At 41.1% G+C, this 18,888-nt stretch overlaps 1 protein-coding gene across 1 annotated transcript in view; it reads left to right on the forward strand.

Annotated features, from left to right (window-relative positions):
- The window catches only part of TSEN15 (tRNA splicing endonuclease subunit 15), a 45,756-nt gene extending 30,030 nt beyond the window's left edge, over positions 1–15,726 (forward strand). Inside the window, exon 4 of the mRNA NM_001363643.2 lies at positions 13,931–15,726. Within this exon, the coding sequence (NP_001350572.1) occupies positions 13,931–14,045 (115 nt within the window). The 3' untranslated portion in view covers positions 14,046–15,726. The remainder of the gene's footprint in view (positions 1–13,930) is intronic.

The following is an 18,888-nucleotide window of genomic DNA, read 5'->3' on the forward strand; positions in this document are numbered from 1 at the left end:
GTACCACCAGGTTGGGAAACAGGCCACCTAGAGGACTTTTTCCCACTTCATGGCTCGGGTTCTGGAGATCAGAAAGAAGATCTTGTATGGATCAGAAACCTAGGGTCATTGGGGACTTTATTCTTCCCGTTCTTCTGATGCACCAGATTGTTACACAGACTATGTTGTCCTGGCCTTTTCTTTACTTCCTAAGAATGGAAAAAAGAAAGCAGTTGTGCCTATAGCATAGAAGATTTAGTGGAACTCTGCGAGAATATTTCTGAAGGAAGCTGGTTAAACATGGATGCGTGGGTGAGGCTGGGTTTATGAAGAGCCTGGTGGCAACTCTTCTGGGATGGATAGTTGTTTATGTGGGATAGTGAACATGGAGTGTTTGTATAGATCTAGGACACTTTCAGGGTGCATTAGCATCTGACAGAGAGAGAGCTGGGGGACAGACATCAGTCCTTAGGGTTTCTCATCAGTCACACAGGTAGTGGCTGAATTGGGCATCATCCTGCAGTGCCTGAGGTCCATCTGGGTCTCTCATGACTTTTTCTCTTGAGCACTTGGAAAATATTTGGTCTGGTCCTGAACTCCAGGGACATGTTGGGGAACTTTCAGGCTGTTTTGGGTCCTCTCCATCTAGATACACTTTCCCAGCCATATGTGCTTCTCTGCTGTCTTCATAGCATGTTGAAGAAAGATCCTAAGAGTCTGAGATATGTGGAGTATGTGGAGCTTTACCTGGGCCTGGAGGCAGCAGTAGGGGGTATAGGGTAGGAGTGGGTGCTGGCCATATTCCCTTTCATTTCCTTTATTTCCTTTGGAGCGTCTATTGTCTCTCCTCTGCACCAGCAACTTTTGGGGTCAGAGCGGAGGGCACGGACCACAGGTGTCTGCTCCATGACCAGTTCAAGGTTCTAACTCTTCCACTTTTGCTACTTTTTATCCCCAACAGGTTTTTTCCCCTAGGTTTATTTTGTCTTAGGGGTAGGAAAAACTGATGCCGACCATTTCCAGATCAATTTTCCTTCTAAACATATTGTTTTTGCCAAGATTTTAGATTTTGGAATTCAAAAGCCAAGAATTTGCTCTTTTTGTTCTGTAGCATAATCCTGTTCCTGAGGCAGTGTGCCAAGAAAGCCTGTATGGGAAAAAGTTCACAGGGAACAAGAATTACTGAAAAGGGAAAATATATCAGTTAATATATCAAAAATTATCCAGTTACATTCACAAACAGAAGGTGTTAATTGTCATTAAAATTCATATTGATACTCACAAGACCTATTTAATTTTCTGAGGGTACATTTTATCTTATCTATCAGCTTACATCCCACCTAATGATAATGCAGTATTTGATACAGAGTAGAAGCTCAATAGAAGTCTTATTTGATTGCATTCAAATATTCATAAATGGACTACTACCCACCCCATCCAATTCCTGCCATTCCAGTGGCAGGGCAAGGACCAGCTGCTTTTCTGCCCTGTCCACTTTGTACAGAAAGCAGAGCTTCATGTACCTCAGGCTGTGAGACAAATCACCATCCCATGCGATTTTCTTTTGTAAGCATGCTTATGCTACAAGATCCCTTATATTTTGATCCCTTGCCTTAGAGTTCTGAGAAATCAAAATAAGGATTTATAAACAAAATATATCTGCCTGATAAGTTTACTTATTATTTGATTACACATCCTTTCCTATGCCAAACCTATGCATTTATTTATTCAACATTTTTTGGGGAAATGAAGGCATGTAAACACTGCTAAATTTGGAAACTCTACTTAGAAATGGTAATTCCTCTCACATAATTATACAATTATTGTGGATTGTACTTCTGTTGATGACCACAGATGGGGATGCTGTGGTTTTGAATATTGGGTGAAAAATTGGTCATCTCTTCTCCCATCCCAAGTGAGATCATTAGAAAACTTGGTTCCTATAAATATAACCAAGAATGTTGCTTTTTTCTGGATTGTACATTCTCTATTGTTTAGATATAAATGAATAGAATTCATCCACTTTGGACCATAATGTTCCACTCCCACAAAATGAAAGGAGTTGGTGCAGATACTATCTGTGATCCCCTCTAGCTCTTTATTTTGGTGATCCTATAATTGAAAGATTTTGCCACATAGATCTTTCCTTCTCACCCTCACGCTCATCACCCTCTTCCACCTCTACCCCTGTTAAAAACAACAACAACATATTCCTCCCATCATGGGCCTTATTAATCCACCATTAGAATTGTGCTCCTTTGAATTTTTGAGGCCCAAGAGACTTGCAAGGCAGAGTTTTGACTTCAGAAAACCAACAGTGACATGGGACAGTTGTGTAATCTCCCTGAGTCTCAGTTTCTCATCTGTAAAATGAAGGACAAAGTGTGTCCTTCCAGGGTTGTGTTTTCCTCACACATTGAAATGGTTATGTGAGGATAAATGAAGCCCAGCATACAATAATCTATCAATGATCCTTCCCTTTGCAGCCTCCAAACTCTTCCCATTGATGTGCAGGTTGCCACCTTGGGAGAGAATACATGATAACTAGCTGAGAGCCAGTCCTCCAAGGAGTAGGACCTAGATGTTTAGCAGGGTATGAAGAAGGTAGTCTTAGTCCATTTTGTTGTTTGATATTCTGTTATTCTAACTATCACACCCCATCCCACCTATGATGGTTTTAAGATATTATCCATAAATCCTTTTGATTATTATCCATAAATCCTTTTGATTATTATCCATAAATCCTTTTGATTTATGGATAATATCTTAAAACCATCACAGGTGGGATGGGGTGTGATAGTTAAAGAGCATTTTAATTTTCTGTTATTCTGTAACAGAATATCAGAGACTGGGTAATTTATAATGAACAGAAATTTATTAGCTCACATTTCTTGACACTGGGAAGCTTAAGATCAAGGGTCCAGCATCTGGCAAGGGCCTGCTTGCTTTATCTTATGGCAGAAGGCAGAAGGGAAAGAGAGATCAAGAGGAGTCAAATTAGCCCTTTATAATGGCACCAATCCTGCCCATGAGGGTGGAGCCCTCATGGTCTAATCACCTCTTAAATATCCCACCTGTTAATACTACTACAATGGCAATTAAATTTCAACATGGGTCTGGAGGGGACAAACATTCAAACCACGGCAAAGGTAAAGGAAAAGATGGGGGGACAATTTTACCCTTTGAAAAATTTCTCAGGCCTGATCTTGCTGCTGCTGTTGCTGCTGCTAATGGTGATGGTGATGATAACACTTTTTTTTTTTGGTCTCACTTTGGGGGATCCTTTAGGTTTAGATAAATTGCATAGGAATAAGATAAACACCAGCTATGCAGTGGGAGACTTATATCAAATAAGGGAAATTTCCACTGCAGGGAAGCTGTACTGGGGCAATTCATTAGGACTGAAAAGAAGTTAAACTTAGCACAGCACAAAAGCACATTGAAAAGTTCTCTCTAAAAGAGAAGGGGGAATGTTCAGGGTGCATTTAAGTCATGGGATATGGCAAGGAGCCTTCTGTTGATGGTGGGGATTAGGTCTCTTGAAGGAATGAATAAATTAAAAAACATGAAATAATAACTAGCAATTTGTAGTTGTATAAGCATGCCTATATTACAGTGGGGGATATAAGGACCTTATTTTGTTCCCTTCTATATTCCCAGAAGTTAGAACAGTGTCTGATACATAGTGGGTGTTCCACAAATATTTGTGGAAGAAAATAAACAAATGAATACACATAAAATAATGTCAAGTGATGACAAATGCTATGAAGAACATAAAGCAGGGTATGGGGATAGAGTGTGACAGGAATGCAATTTTAGTTAGGGTGACCAAGAATGGCTTTTCTCTGCAGGTGACATTTGAGCAGAGACCAGAATGCAGTGAGGGTGGGAGTCATGCAAATAACTAGAGGACCAGCCTTGCGGGCAAAGGGAACAGCAAGTGCAAATGTCCTGAGTTTAGACCATGATGGGATCTGAAATTTTGCATTTCTAACAAGTTGTCTGATGATGTCAGTGCAGCTGGTCCATGGACCACATTTTGAGTAGTAAGGGTATAGACTAGAGTTTGACCCAGGAGTCAGTACTAGTCAAGTTCAGTACTAGTCAAGTCAGTACTAGTCAAGGAACTGAGTAGTTCTGTCTGAGAACTGAGTAGTACTGACTAGTCAAGTCAGGACTAGTCAAGGAACTGAGAGGTGAGGTCATTGCATGAGAAAAGAGGAATGCAAAACTGTATATGAAATATATTCTTATCTATACAAAATGTATGCAAAGAGGGACATGAACAATATCAACAGTGTTTTCCTCAGTGGGGTTGCACTTCAGATTATTTAAATTCTCTTCTTTTTAGATTATTCCAAAGCTTCTGCCATGTGTATTTATCACTTTTATATTCAGAAAAAAACATTTTTGGAAAGTTCAAAACAGAAAATATGTGTTTAGTTAAGACACAAAGTTCAAAATGTATTAAAATATTTCTAAATTTTAAAAAAATGTTATGGACACATGGGAATTGGTTGGGGTTTCTGATGAAAGGCTTCATAAAGGAGATGACTTTGAATCAAATCTTGACATCTAAGTAGGCAAAACTAAGTTAGAGTTCTTAGCAGCTTCTCTTCTCTCTTCCTGTTCTTGGGTGGAAGTTGGGGTGGGGAAGATATAGGGTATGGATGGTATATTAGTAATCTATTGCTGTGTGACAAATTATCCCAAAGCTCAGCTACTTAAAACAATAGTTTTTGTGGTTCAGAAATTTGGGAGCAGCTTTTTGGCTCAGGGTCTCTCATGAGGTTTCCATGAAGATATTAGCTAGGGCTTCCATTATCTGAAGGCTTGACTGGGGCTGGAGGATCCACTTCCAAGATAGCTCACTCACATGGCTGTTGGCAGGAGAAGGCCTTGCTTTCTTGCCATGTGGATCTCTCTACAGGACACCTTGGGTCTCCTCATGATACTACAGCTGGCTTCACTCAGAGCGAATGACCAGAGTGAGAGAGAGGGAGAGCAAGAGAGAGTGAGAGAGAGCTAGAGAGAGCACGAGAGAGAGAAGATCCAACACCTTTGATGACCTAATCCTGGAGCACACACACTGATGCTTCTGCTTTATTCTGTTCATTAGAAGCAAGTTGCCAAGTCTAGTCCATACTAGGGGGAGGTGTATTCAAGTTTACCTTTTGAAAGGGGGGAGTATCAAAAGGATTTATGGATAATATCTTAAAACCATCACAGGTGGGATGGGGTGTGATAGTTAAGGCCATTTTAATTTTCACTTAAAAGGGACTGTATAAAATTCTAGATACTATGGATTACTGTAGGAAACTGTCAGTCATTTAGCATGCCTGGTGTTTAGCAGGATGGAGGGTAGAAAGGTATGATGAGGAAAACATCTAGAACATAATGCAAGCCACATATGTAATTTAAAATTTTCTAGTAGCCACACTAAAAGATGTTAAAAAGAAAATACATAATTTTAATAATATGCTTTTAGCTCTATATATGCAAATATTTTCATTTCAATGCATAACCAATATAAAAATTATTAACGAGATATTTTAGACTCTTTTTTCTTTTTACTATCTCTTTGAAATCTGGTGTGTGTTTCATACTTATAGCATCCTTTGGTTTGGACTAGCACAATTTCAAGTGCTCAGGAGCCACATGTGGACAGTGCAGGTCTAGAGAACTAGGCCAGAAGCTAAGAATAGGTCACCAAGAACCATAATCTGTATCCATTGTCCAAACAGAGGGCCCAGTAAAGGGTTTAAGCTGAAGGGCACCATGATCAGACTCCTGGTTTAGAAGTCACTCTCACTGTTCTATGTGTAGAACGTGGAGGGTTGGAGCAGGCAAGCCCAGACATAAGCACATAATCAGGAGACTTTCAGAACATCCCATGTGAGAGCTTGAATGAGGTTAGTTACACTAAAGATGGAGAGGAGCCGATGTATGAAAGATAGAAAGGAGGTGGTTTGTAGTAGGTCCCATGACCATTTGGATGTGAGAAAGTAGATGTAATAAGATAGAGACACTTAGAATGATTCCAAGGCTTCTGGCTTGGGTCATTGTGAGGAAAATTGTAAGAAAAGGAAATACAGGAGTTAAAACATGGTTCACTTTGCGGGGATAACAAGGTAAGATTACAGCTATATATTTGGAAAAGTTTTGGTTGAGATAGTATCGGAGATGGAGGAGAAGAAATCTAGTGGACAGTGGATGGATAAATCTGGAGCTTAGGGGAGACCTAAGCTCCTGGTGGAACCACCACAAGGCTTCGTAATTTTATGATATTGCTATGAAAATGCCAGGCACTGTGGAAAGTTCCAGTTTTCTCTTGTTGTAGAGGCAGAATCAGCTGAGGAAGAAAGACCGGAGCCACCTCAGGAAGAGGCCTCTGAGCTGTGGGCACCAGCCAGGGAGGTCTGCTTCCCTGGCCCAGAATGACCGGCTATTTAGCAGCGAGGGAGGGGCCATGAGAGCCACACTGCGGAGTTATCTTAGCGGTAGGAGCTCCCTGGGCAGGCTGTGAAGGCCAGAGCTCACTGAGGGGAGTAGGAAGGGGAAGGAGTGTCTGGATAAAGCATCGGACGTTAAAAACGCCTAGATTCTGAGGAGTCTGTTGATGGCATGGACTTTGGTCTTTTTGTTGAAAACCTCTTTTGTAATATGTTCAATAAGTGGAATTCTTTGCTGCCAAAAAATGGGGAGGAGGAAGAGGAAAAGGAGAAGGAAGGAAGGAAGAGAAAGAAAGAAGAAAAGAATTCCTGCCTTGGGATTTGACTATTTCACATGTTGTCTCCATCTCAGAAAATACGTATCCTTGTCAGTGAAGAAAAAAATGTTTTTTGTATTTTTTTTTTTTTGGTAGAGATCGAGTTTCACCATATTGACCAGGCTGCTCTCGAACTGAATGACTTATATGAGTACACATGTCATGTTTAATTGTGTTTTTCTACTTACATTTCCTATTGTAACCTTCAGTGCTCATCTGGGTTGTTTTCTGTTTGTTTGTTTGCTTGCTTGTTTTTATTCTCTAAGAAACAGTATAATGGCTAAGACCCTATTTGTTGACTAATCCTATTTCTGGAAGGTTAGCAGACCTATGTGAGATATTGAGACCCTTCCCTCTTTTACGCACCTAAAGTGAAGTGTGTCTGCCCACTGCCTCTTCCTTAATAGGGTGATGCCTTAATGCAAGGGTTGCAAACTAAAGTGCCTGCCACAGCCAGGTAGATAATACACTGGAGTGATGTGAGTGTACACAGCAAATGAGCTTGGCCAAAGGGAGCAGCTGTTGTGAAGCTCCAGCAGATTCTTGTGAAGTGGCAACATGGGCGTACTTGCCAGATATTCTTACTTTTGTGTGTGAAATTTTTTGGTGAAGTTTCCCCACTTTTAACTTCACAAAATATCAATTTTATTTAAACACTGCAGATTAAACAAAATATGTTGGTGGGTTCTTATCAACCCACAGTCCACCAGTCTTTGATATCAATCTAAATCTTTATATATGTATGCATGTCATGTTTCATTGTGTTTTTCTATTACATTTCCTACTGTAACCGTCAATGCTCTTCTGGGTTGTGTTTTGTTTTCTTACTTGTTTGTTTTTATTCTCTAAGAAAAAATACAATGGCTAAGGCCCTATTTGTTGGCTAATCCCACTTCTGGAAGGTGAGCAGACCTATGTGAGGTATTGAGACCCTTCCCCCTTTTAGGCACCTAAAACAGCAGACCATATGGAAAATGGCATATTCCCCTGGCAGATTCAGGGCCACAGTGTTTGAGAGACTATCGGAGATGGAGGAGAAGAGTGGAGTGACCCTGGTGCAACTGGCCACATTTTGGTGGTGACTCCTCTAATAAGTGCCAGGTTACTTAAAGTAGATCTCATATTTAATAATAAATGAAATATCAAAATCATTCATGAGGGTACTAGATAGCATGCGGAAAAAACAGTCATTATTTCCAGTGCTCAAAGTTAAACATTAAAAAAAAAATCAAATGCAAGAAGGAAGTAGGTGAGGGAGAAAATAGGAGGAAAATGTATGGAATTCAATGGGTTTCATGTGCATTTCCCTTGGATGTTATTGAGCTCTAGGTCAGGTTTGTAGAAGAGAAGCGATGCTTCCCCATCATGCTCCCCAGTCCTCCACCCTCCACCCTATCCTGTGGGGCAGAGTTGCTATAGATTGATGACACTCTAGGACACTGGACCATGTTTGCCAGTAGAATGGTTGCTGCCCACTAAAAGGTCATGCATAATGTCCACACAAAGACCTGTACATGAGGTTTATAACAGCTTTATTCATAACAGTCAGACTAGAAATAACCTGAATATTCATCAATGGGTAAATGTATAAACAAACAGTAGTAATCTTTACAATGGGATACTACTCAGCAATAAAAAGAACAAGCTACTGACATACACCACAACATGGGTGACTCACAAAACACTCTGCTGAATGAGGGAAGTCAAAACCCAAAGCATTTATGCTATATGAATTTATATGAAACTTGAGAAAAGGCAAATTTAATCTATAATGACAAAATAGATCTATGGTTTTTTGAGGCTTGGGATGGAGGGTATGTAACACAAAAGGGCATGAAGGAATTCAGGCAAAAGATGATGGAAATGATCTATATGTTGATTGTGGTGGTGTTTCCATGTCTGGTTATAGTTTTGAAACTCATCAAACTTAGGCTTAAAATGGGTGCATATTCTTTCATGTAAATTATACCTCAGTAGAGTTGATATAAACAAAAAGGTCACGTACAAAGATGTATTATCTCCTGTCCCTCTTTCATGTGTGCTATAGAAGCAGTCTAAAGACCTAACTCTCTTTTCTTCTCCTTTCTTCCTCCATGTGGCCTGAATGGGGAGAAAGCCAGGGCTCTCTTGCTTAGGATGTGCCCAGCCAAAATTTTGCTCTTATCTTGTCTGATCAAGCATTTTCATCTATTTGGATTTCTGTCTTCATTTATGGCAGATGAGGTGTGGTGAAATGTTGAAGTTGAGTTTGGGCTTATGGGGAGAAAAGGTGTTCCATCTCTGATCCTCCAGGCTTGCTCAGGTGTCCCAGCCCAGCTTACAAGGGCTGTGCACTGTGGGTAGGGGACTGACTTCAGCTGAGAATAGGACACTTGCTTTTCTTTTCTTGACCAATTTTCTGTAGTATACAGCTCCCTCAGGGACATATTGGAGAGGGAGGGCTGAGGTTTACAAAATGATTTGGATATTCCTAAGACCCTTGATTAATTCTGTCTAAACACTGTAATTATTTCTAAGTCTTCCATAGACATACTTTTACCAAAGGCCTCATCACCTTTACGGAAACGTCATCCTCTAGTCTCAGTACCACTCTGGCTGGTCGGATACTTACTTTTCAAAATACAGCTTGAGTCATTGTCCTGAATCCTTCCTACCCTCCAGTCTCAAAGCACATGTATCTCTTGTTCCATGATCCAAAAGAAGGAGAAGGGGCTTAAGTGTGATGCAAGTCTGGGTTCACATCTTGACCTGCTGCTTACTGAGTGGGTGACTTAGAGCAAGTCACTTATCCTCTCTGAGCCCCAGAATATATATTTTTATATATATGGTATAGTATAGTACAGTATATATAGTCACCAAGGCTCAGAAATTGATATATATATATTTAGTATTTTTTAATTTCTAAAATAGTGATGATAATTCCTACTTTTCAGGATTGTTGTATATATTATATAATATAGTTAGTGTATACAATTTGCACAACAAAGATGCATAATATATTTTAGCTATTATTATTATTAGCTGTAGTGGCAGAGACAGCCCCTGCCTCTCCTTGCATGTAGGTGTGTACATATAACATGGAGACAGTGGAATGTAAGAGCTGTGTGTCACTCCTGGGGTAAAGATTTTAGAAAAGGACAGGACTTCCCTACTGTCTCTTTCCATTTCTGTTGGCTGGAAGCAGAAAACAAAGAGCCCCTAGGAAATGGTGAAGCCACAAGATCTATGGAGCCTGGAGTCCTTAAATTACTACCTGGGAGACAGCTACCTGTCACCCAGGAACACCTGCAATGGGCTGTTTTATAAGGAAGAAACAAACTTATTTTGGGTTAGGTCCCTAAAATTCTGGGTTTTGTTTATTATAGCTGTTAGTGTTAATTGTCCTGGTAAATTTAGAAATTGGCACTTTGAAGTGGAGGTTAATGTAAGAAAAACCTAAGATATGTTGCATCGACTCAGCAGTTGGATGGTGGGTGGCACAGACACTGATATCAAAGGCTGGGAAGATGGAGACCTGTGGAAGAGATGGCAGAGCATTTGGTAAATCTGTTGCTGGTGATTATTTAAAAGGCATGCCCAGTGCCTGACAAGTCTTTATCTCCAGGGGAGAGGCTGGCTATTACTTATTGTATTCAGCAAGGTATAACCAGACAGATGTGCTCTGCTAAGAACTCGTTTGCATGAGTGCAGAAATTAAACAGTCTAGACAGAGTCCAGAAATCTGATGTTTCACAGGATTGGAAAAGCATTATTGTTCTCAACCCATAGAAGGTATCACTGAAAAAGGCTTTGAGCAACATAGGTCCATTTAAAAAATCTCAATTTAATAGATACCATGCTAGCATCTACAGACTAGGAAATAAGTAGGGACTGTTCTCTGCCTTCAAGGAGTTTATAACTTAGTAGAAAAGAGAAAAATGTGTACAAATAACTGCAGTGGAAGACAGTTAATGATTGAAACATACATTGCTATAAATAATGCAAGAATCACAGCATTCTAGGGTAGCCCAGAATAGGGGCTCTCAAAAGGACTGGGGAGCTTGGACCTTGGTTTCTCATCAAACCCTGAAACCCATGAATGAATGAATAAACCTCAATTGTTTCCCAAACTCATTTTCATCTTCCTGAAACACTAGAGTTCAAATTTGGTCTCTGGGGTAGTAGCTGATCCTCTGGGCATTGAGGAGCTCCCTCAGGCCAGCCCATGACTTTCCTATCAGTGTTCTTCTCTGCCTTTACAAGTAGTTCAGACTGAGACTTGTATGGGTTCCCTACTGAGGGCCTCATTTCTGTAACAGAAGAGGGCTCTGACATCCTTATTTTTCTTCAACTGCCCTGAGATGATGAGATGCCCCAGACCTGAAAGCACCGTTGTGTTTGCTGAGACTGCTTGTTTTTATTGTCTCTTGTGTTTTAAATAGTCATTCTTTGGGCAAAGAATGAGAACTTGCAGCTCCTTATTGTTTCCTGGCATGAACCTAGTACCTTTTTAACTTGCTTTTATTGCCTCTTTGGCTGTGTGGAGCATTTATCTAAATATAGACTGGTACAACACTATGAACAGGACTGGAATAAGATAAAATTTTCTTTCCGATCAATTCTGTTACATCTTCTTGTGAACACTAGGTACTGTTCTTTTCTCAGAGTGGCAAGAGTAGGCAGCAAAAAGAGATGATATTGAGTTGCAAAGCTTTTCTAAGTGGAAGTCAATCACTGCCAGGCCTTTTAAAGTCACGAGGCCCAGGTACTGAGTGCTCTGGACACTGGATCTGCCTATGGCCTTAGGCAAACCACATAATCATGGTCAGCAACATACACTGCCCCTTGGAGGCAGGGTGGTGGAGTGGAAGGGGCACAGGCTTTGACAGAACCCAATTGGATCTAATGCCCTGCCACTTATTTTGGGGTGACCTTGGGTAAGTTCCTTATTCTCATTTCTAAAAGGGGGCAATACTAATAAAATCTATCTCTTAGGGCTCTTGTGAGGATTAAATGTGATGAATATATGTAACTTACTCAGCACATTTTCAAGAAATAGCAGCTATTATTTTTTTGTAGGTAGGTACTTTGTGGCATTAATATATCAAATGCAACCATATCTTTAATTTTATTTCCAGGAGGAATAATCCATATATATTTATTAAAGATATTAACAAAAAGCAGCTCTCACCTTCTTGTGAATCAGATCCAAATCCCTTAACGTCTTCATTGATTCAGGTGAGAGGATTTCATTACTGCAGGAGTGCACTATAGTAATTAGAGCAGAGTCTCTGGTCTCAGGGTTCAAAACTTGGTATGTGATATTGAGCCAATTGCTTAAGTTCACTGGGCCACAATCCTTGATCTGCGACTTCAAATTGAAACTATTTATAGGCTTTACTTGCTTAATATAAATCTTTCTATTTTGGGTGCAGAAATATTGGGTTTGATTCTAAGGGACCACCCCAGACCTTGGTGGGTGTTCTGTAATATCTGTCATATGCACCCTGTTGCCTTTATTAATTCTGCATTCTGAGTTGCAAAACTCATCTGGTTTCCAGAGATTTGGGGATCTATGATATACCCTCATAGGGTCGCTGAGCTATAGTCACTTCATGCCCCCCCTCCGAATCTTATTAGCTATTATTATCATCTTGGAATGGTTTTTTGATGTGGCGGTTATTCTCCCATTTTACATATGAGGAAAATAAGACCCAGAAAAGTTAAATCACCACATAGCTCATATGTGATATGGTCAGAATACAAGCAAGGCATTTCTGACATCAGATCCCATGCATTCTGTTGAATTCATTCTGTTGAATTCCCAGGACCCTGTACATGCCCTGGCAGGGCCAGCCTCAATTAAGATTCCACCTGGAGAGATTAGAGTCTACAGTTAAGAAAACACAATCAACTGGGACTGTCCTCTTCAGGCATCTCACAAGCAGACCAGTTCTGGTGTGGGCTCCTCACCCTCCTTTAGCGGCTGTGCAGAGGATGGAAGGGTGGGTCCCGGAAGGCTCCCACAGGGTCTGCCAACCACATGGCTTGAGAAGGGAGCTGGCCTGCACACCGTCCTTTGCTGATTTCTCCTAAGGGATGTGAGCAGAGCATTGACAGGGTCTGTGATACACCCTTTAGCATAATTCTGTGCCATAGCAGGAACAGTCTATTTTGTGAAAAGCTCAGGATGAAGGCTGTCTCTCTCACTACTGTTTTGATGTTCACTGACAAACCCACCTACCATCAAATGATTCCCACCACACTGCCTGCCATGGTGCCTGAAATTTGTGCTATAAGCCATCAGTCTCCAGAGACTACCAATAAAATGTCTGGACAGTAGGGTAGGGGATGAGGGAAGGATAAGAGGTGGGTCACCATCACTGAAGAGTCTGGGTGAACTGGGGTACTAGCTCCCAGGCTGGAGGTGGCCTCTGACAGACATGGCCTCTGAGGAGTGTAGCACCAAACACGGACCCAAAAGCACCCCTCAGAAAAGGAAAGGGATGAAGGGGTCATTTGCCTGTTTTACACATTTATCCAGATCAGGACCTGGAAGGGAAGACCTCCTTCACTGTTGCTGAGACTGCGAGCTCTTGGAAGACGGTGACTGTCTTTTTGTCTCTCTCTCTCCCCAGAACTCAGCAGAGTAACCCATGACTTGTTTGACTGAACAGAGTGCCCATGGGTTCAGTGCTCTGCTCTAGTCTCCACCTGCCAGTTTCCTTCTGACACTGCTATGAGCAACCCCCATATTTATGCAGATGAGTGCTCCATAACTCCACTTCTCTTCAATAAGAAGAAAGAGCAACACCGCTAACAACTTATTGTTGGTGGTGAGACTTTGGGCAAATTAATGAGCTCTCTGTTTATTCATTGATAAAATGTAGAGAATGCCCCTGGCTTCCCACACTTGTGGTGAGGACTCAGTAAGGTTCTTGTGGACTGATTGTGTCCCTCTCTAAATTCCCCAATTCACACACTGAAGCTCTAATCTCCAGTGTGATTGTTTTTGGAGTTAGGCCCTATATGGAGGTAATCAAATTAACAGAGGTCATGAGAGTGGGGCCTTAATCCAACAGGACTAATATTCTTATAAAATGGGGAAGAAACAGGATACCAGAGATCTCTATCTCTCTCCCCCTTCTCTCTCTCTCTCTCTCTCTCTCTCTCTCTCTCTCTGTGTCTCTCTCTCTTTCCCAGTTGTACACAGAAGAAAGCCCATATGAGGACACAGCAAGAAGGTGGCTGTCTTCAAGCCAAGAAGAGAGGCCTCATCAGAGATGGAATGTTCCTGCACTTCGGTCTGGATTTCTAGTGTCCAGAACTGTGAGAAAATAAATTTCTGTTGTTTAAGCCACCTGGTCTGTGGTATTTTGTTATGACAGGCCTAGCAAACTAACGTAAAATGCTTTGGTACAGCAGCAGGCACAAGGTAGAGATTCATTAATTGTAATAATACCATATAAATAATTATTGATAATGGCACTATCAATAATTGCCATTGTTATTGCTTCTAATAAAACACCCACCCTTCTGGGGGAGAGAGGAAGAATTTTGGAAACTCCAGTAACAAACAGTCTGCAAATCCACTTTGAGCTTCTGATGAGAAATTGAGGGCACTCGAAAGAAATAAATCACATTCACTGAAATTTTCTGATCCTATTTCTGTACATATGTCATGATAATTTGTGTCAAGTAATATGACAGCATCTTTCCTCTGAGGGACTTAATGTGCTTATGCCAACTACTTATCCATCAGGCAAATGTTTACATTCTGAGGATGAACTAAGGGAATGTCTTAGATAGCTGGGAGCCTGAGGCTAGGACTGTGCACTGAGGGGCACTAATAAAATCAGATAATCAAATTTCTTCCACCTTCTCTGTGGTTTAGGCTGTGCAGTCTGGAAGCAGGCCAGGTGGTTGGTTTTAGGAATCACAGGGTTGAGCTTACAGTACAAGACAGATTTTACTTCAAGTCTAAGTTAGCCTTGACTAATGATTGTTCCATCACTTTTAGATGTCCAGCTAACTCACTTACAGGCACATCAGGAAGAGGGACCTCTCAAGACTGTTTTCTCACCAAAACTCTGAGGTTCTGGTTTCATAACTGTATTAGTCCATTTTCACGCTGCTGATAAAGACATAGCCAAGACTGGACAATTTACAAAAGAAAGAGGTTTAATTGGACTTACCGTTCCACATGGCTGGGGAAGCCTCACAATCATGGTGGAAGGCAAGGAGGAGCAAGTCACATCTTATATGGATGGCAGCAGGCAAAAAGTGAGAGAGTTTGTGCAGGAAAACTCCCCCTTATAATAACCATCAGCTCTCGTGAGACTATCATGATAACAGCACGAGAAAGACCTGCCCCCATGATTCAGTTACCTCCCACTAGGTCCCTCCCACAACACGTGGGAATTCAAGATGAGATTTGGGTGGGGACACAGCCAAACCATATTAATAACATTCACATTCTTTCTGGACACCCAATCAAGCCCTCCACATGGACCTGTGGGCTGCAGACTCTTGCAGACAGATCAGGGAGGAGGGCAGAAAAGGCCTCTCAGCAACTGCAGTTCTTTGTGCCTGCATTTCCAATTCAGATGAATGCATTAGAAATGGTCCTAAAATGTATTTGAAAAAAACAGAACCATCTAAGATCATTGGTCAGAGCTCCAAATGGTTTATAAAGAGGGGGAACAATATGCTGACTTCTGAAAAATGGGAAGGGGGTTACATTGGCTTGATTGAAACCAGTTGAAGGAGGTTTTTTGTGTTTTTCCCCCAAGTTTTTCTTGACTAATGATTGTTCAGGTCTTTAAATCAGTGTTGTCCAACTGTCCCCAAAGACTACATAAGGCACAGTTGAAATCTGTATTGTCCCTTGCTGTTACTGCCTCTCCGCTGCCCTTAACTCACAGGATGAGGTATTATAGGTTATAGAATCCCTTGCTTTTTATTCCTTTATCACAGATGGATGAAGTGCTCAAATCTGAATCATTAAACCGACTTCTTTTGTACCTCTCAGACTGTTCACTGATTTAACGTTGTTTTAATGTATTCATTAGATTCAAACATTTACTGAACACTCACCATGTGCCAGGCCCTCTTAAAGGCACGGGAGATGCTAAGGCAAATGAGACACAGATCCTGCCTCCAAGGGCTCCAGTGTAGTGGAAGGGCAGAGAAATAGTTACTAACATATGGCAATGGAGGAGGGCAAGGAATGGAGAAAGGCTTTAAAGGGTGCACCAGGGACCTGGAGGTGACCTTCCAGGAGGGAAGAAAAAGACAGGAGCATTAGGAGGGAGAAAATTTAATTGGGAAAAAGAAGCAGCCAGCAGGTTGTTTTGAGAGAATCAATCTTTTGCTGTATGGCTGAAGGCAGCTGGTGATGTTGGTATTGATGAATTGCATGACATAATTATTTGGCACAGAAAGAAAAAAAGAAGGGAAGAAAGGAAAGAAAGAAGGGGAGGGAGGGAGGAAGTCACCTTCTATACTTGAGAAAATATCATCAATGAATCCATCTGCTTCTGTTCCATAATTCCAACCCCTTCTCTCAGGAGGAGCTGAGAGATTGGTCTATTAGAGGTTCTCTTTGGCTTCCATAAAATCTAACAAAAATACCCCACCAAGTTTATTGCTCTCCTTGTTTCTCGGAAGACTGGAGAATGGACTTGCCTTGGACCAAACCCTCGAGTGCACTGACTTAGGAAAGGCAATGGAAATAGATGTCTTTTGTTACAAGGGTGATATTAAGATTGATAAAATTAAATATATATTATTATCTGGTTTGAACATATAGTTAATTAGCATGTAGCTTTGAATTTGTTATGTTGGTGGCCAAACCTGTTAGAAACAGGTTGGAATGCTATTCTAATTGCCTGATTCTAAAAGTAGGTTTCCAGAGATGGGTCCTAGCATATAGCTACACAAATGTAGTACTGCCCACAAGGAAAATGGAGGTGAGGGGCAGGAGAAAGATGTAGTAGCTACTGAATTAAAGCTCAGTTTAAGGACTACTTTTCAAATGAATTGGGGGCCAGTAGTAAAGTGCGTATGGTGGCCAACTGAACCAGAGGAAGGGGAACGGGGGGCAAGAATTCTTCCTGAGAGCACCTGTGCCCTTCCAGAGCTGTGTTCTTCTGAATTTTCTCCTCTCCTTTCAGTAATTAATTGGGCTTAATTAATAGGATTTGGTTGATTTTATCTGCAAATCTCTTTTGTACATATCTGAAGACCTAAACAGTGGTGGTAAAAAAATTGACTCAAACTTTTTCAGTCCAGAGACCAGATGACTGAAATCATGTCTTACTCATCTTTGCAACCTGAGCACCCAGAGTAGATACTCCATATGTTCATTATGTAAATTAATAAGCTTCTTCACTGTACCTCATTTTACCCTAGAAAACCTATTTCTTCAACAAATGTTTACTAATTATCTACTTTTGCCGGGTGCTGAGTCAGGCACTAGGGATATGAGTGGGCAAGAGAGAAAAGACCCTTCCTCCTGGAGTTTGCTGCCCATAAGGAAAGACAATAATTAAATTAAGCATTACAAGAAATTATGATATCATCACAATATGGCAAGTGAATGCTAATAGAGCCAATACCAAGGGGCCACATTTGTTGGAGAGGTGGCTCAAGGGACACCTCCTTGTGCAAGTGACTCAAATTAAGTTAGCACTCTCAGCTCTAGTGGTGCTGATAATCTATCTGGAGAAAAAAAGAATATCATGCATGCAAAAGTAAGAAAGAGTACAGTGTAGGACACTCTAGGTTCAGTGTTAGATTATGGATTATAGAGGGTAGAAAGGGGTGATATCAAAAAGGGTTTATGTAGGCTCAGAAGTTTGCAGGAGGAAGGAGCACTTGGACTGTCCTTGGAAGATGGGTAGAAGAGTGGAATAGAACAAGGGAGGAAAGACAGAAATAAGAATCCCACACAACGGGGGAAGTGAAGCCTCAATGGGTAGTGGCAGGAGACAGGCTGAAATCATGCAAGACCTGGTAAGTCAGTGGAAATGAAAGTGTAAGTGCAGTTCTATTATCATTATTATTCTTAATAATGTGATAAAAGCTACTGTACACCAAGTCCTAGTCTGGGTTAGGTGCTGGGTAGAAAATGTTAAACAAAAGGTCTACAATTCATTCTTTTTTGCTACCAAAGGGAAGTCCATGGGAAAGAAGGAAGGAAGGTAACTTAATCAAATCTTCACATGAACATACTAATGACAGGCCTCCAGATAAACACATTAATGATATTTGCTAGTGCAGGGTCCTTATCTATAGAATTCTTTTTAAAGGAGGTACCTGATCTGCCTGGGTTGCTCATTTGTAACAAATCTGAATCTATGCCTGTATTGGGTATGGGTTCTGAGAAAAGGTCAGGTCAATTATATAACTATCTAAGTATAATATGAAGATATTTATTGATGGTTCTTTTCTGTGTAGGTGATGTGCCACATACATGGCTTGAAGATCTTCTGTGTTAATCTGGGGAAGAATATCTTGATGTGGCATGGAAGGACTCAGGACACTGCATGGGTCCTAAGCCACTCCCTGCTTCATTTGTAATTGCTTGTTTTATTGAAATTATTAGCAAAGTGTGATACTGGGTAAGATCTCTATTATGTGAATCCACTTTGATAATCTGATCTTTTTGTGTTATGTTAGGTACTTTACTTAATATATTGTCTCACATCAACCCTACAAGGTAAGTGCCCAGAGAAATGAGTTAATGTGTCTAATATCACAGTGAGGAAGCAGCAGACTCCTAATTTAAACCCAGGTCAAACTCTGTGCTCTTCCCGCTACTCCATATCACCCACTGATATGGTTTGCCTCTGTGTCCCCACCCAAATCTCATTTTGAGTTGTAATTCCCAGTGTTGGAGGAGTGAACTGATGGGAGGTGATTGGATCATGGGGGCAGATTTCCCCCTTGCTGTTCTCATGACAGTGAGTGAGTTCCCACAAGATCTGATGGGGTTTAAAAGTGTGTGTGTGGCACTTCCCCCTTTGCTGTCTCTCTCTCTCTCCTTCTCCTCCATGTTAAGATCTGCTTGCTTCCTCTTAGCCTTCTGCCATGATTGTAAGTTTCCTGAGGCCTCCCAGTCATGCTTCCTGTTAAAACTGCAGAACTGAGTCTGTTAA

This window comes from Homo sapiens, chromosome 1 (assembly GCF_000001405.40).
Source record: "Homo sapiens chromosome 1, GRCh38.p14 Primary Assembly".
Taxonomy (NCBI): Eukaryota; Metazoa; Chordata; class Mammalia; order Primates; family Hominidae; genus Homo; species Homo sapiens.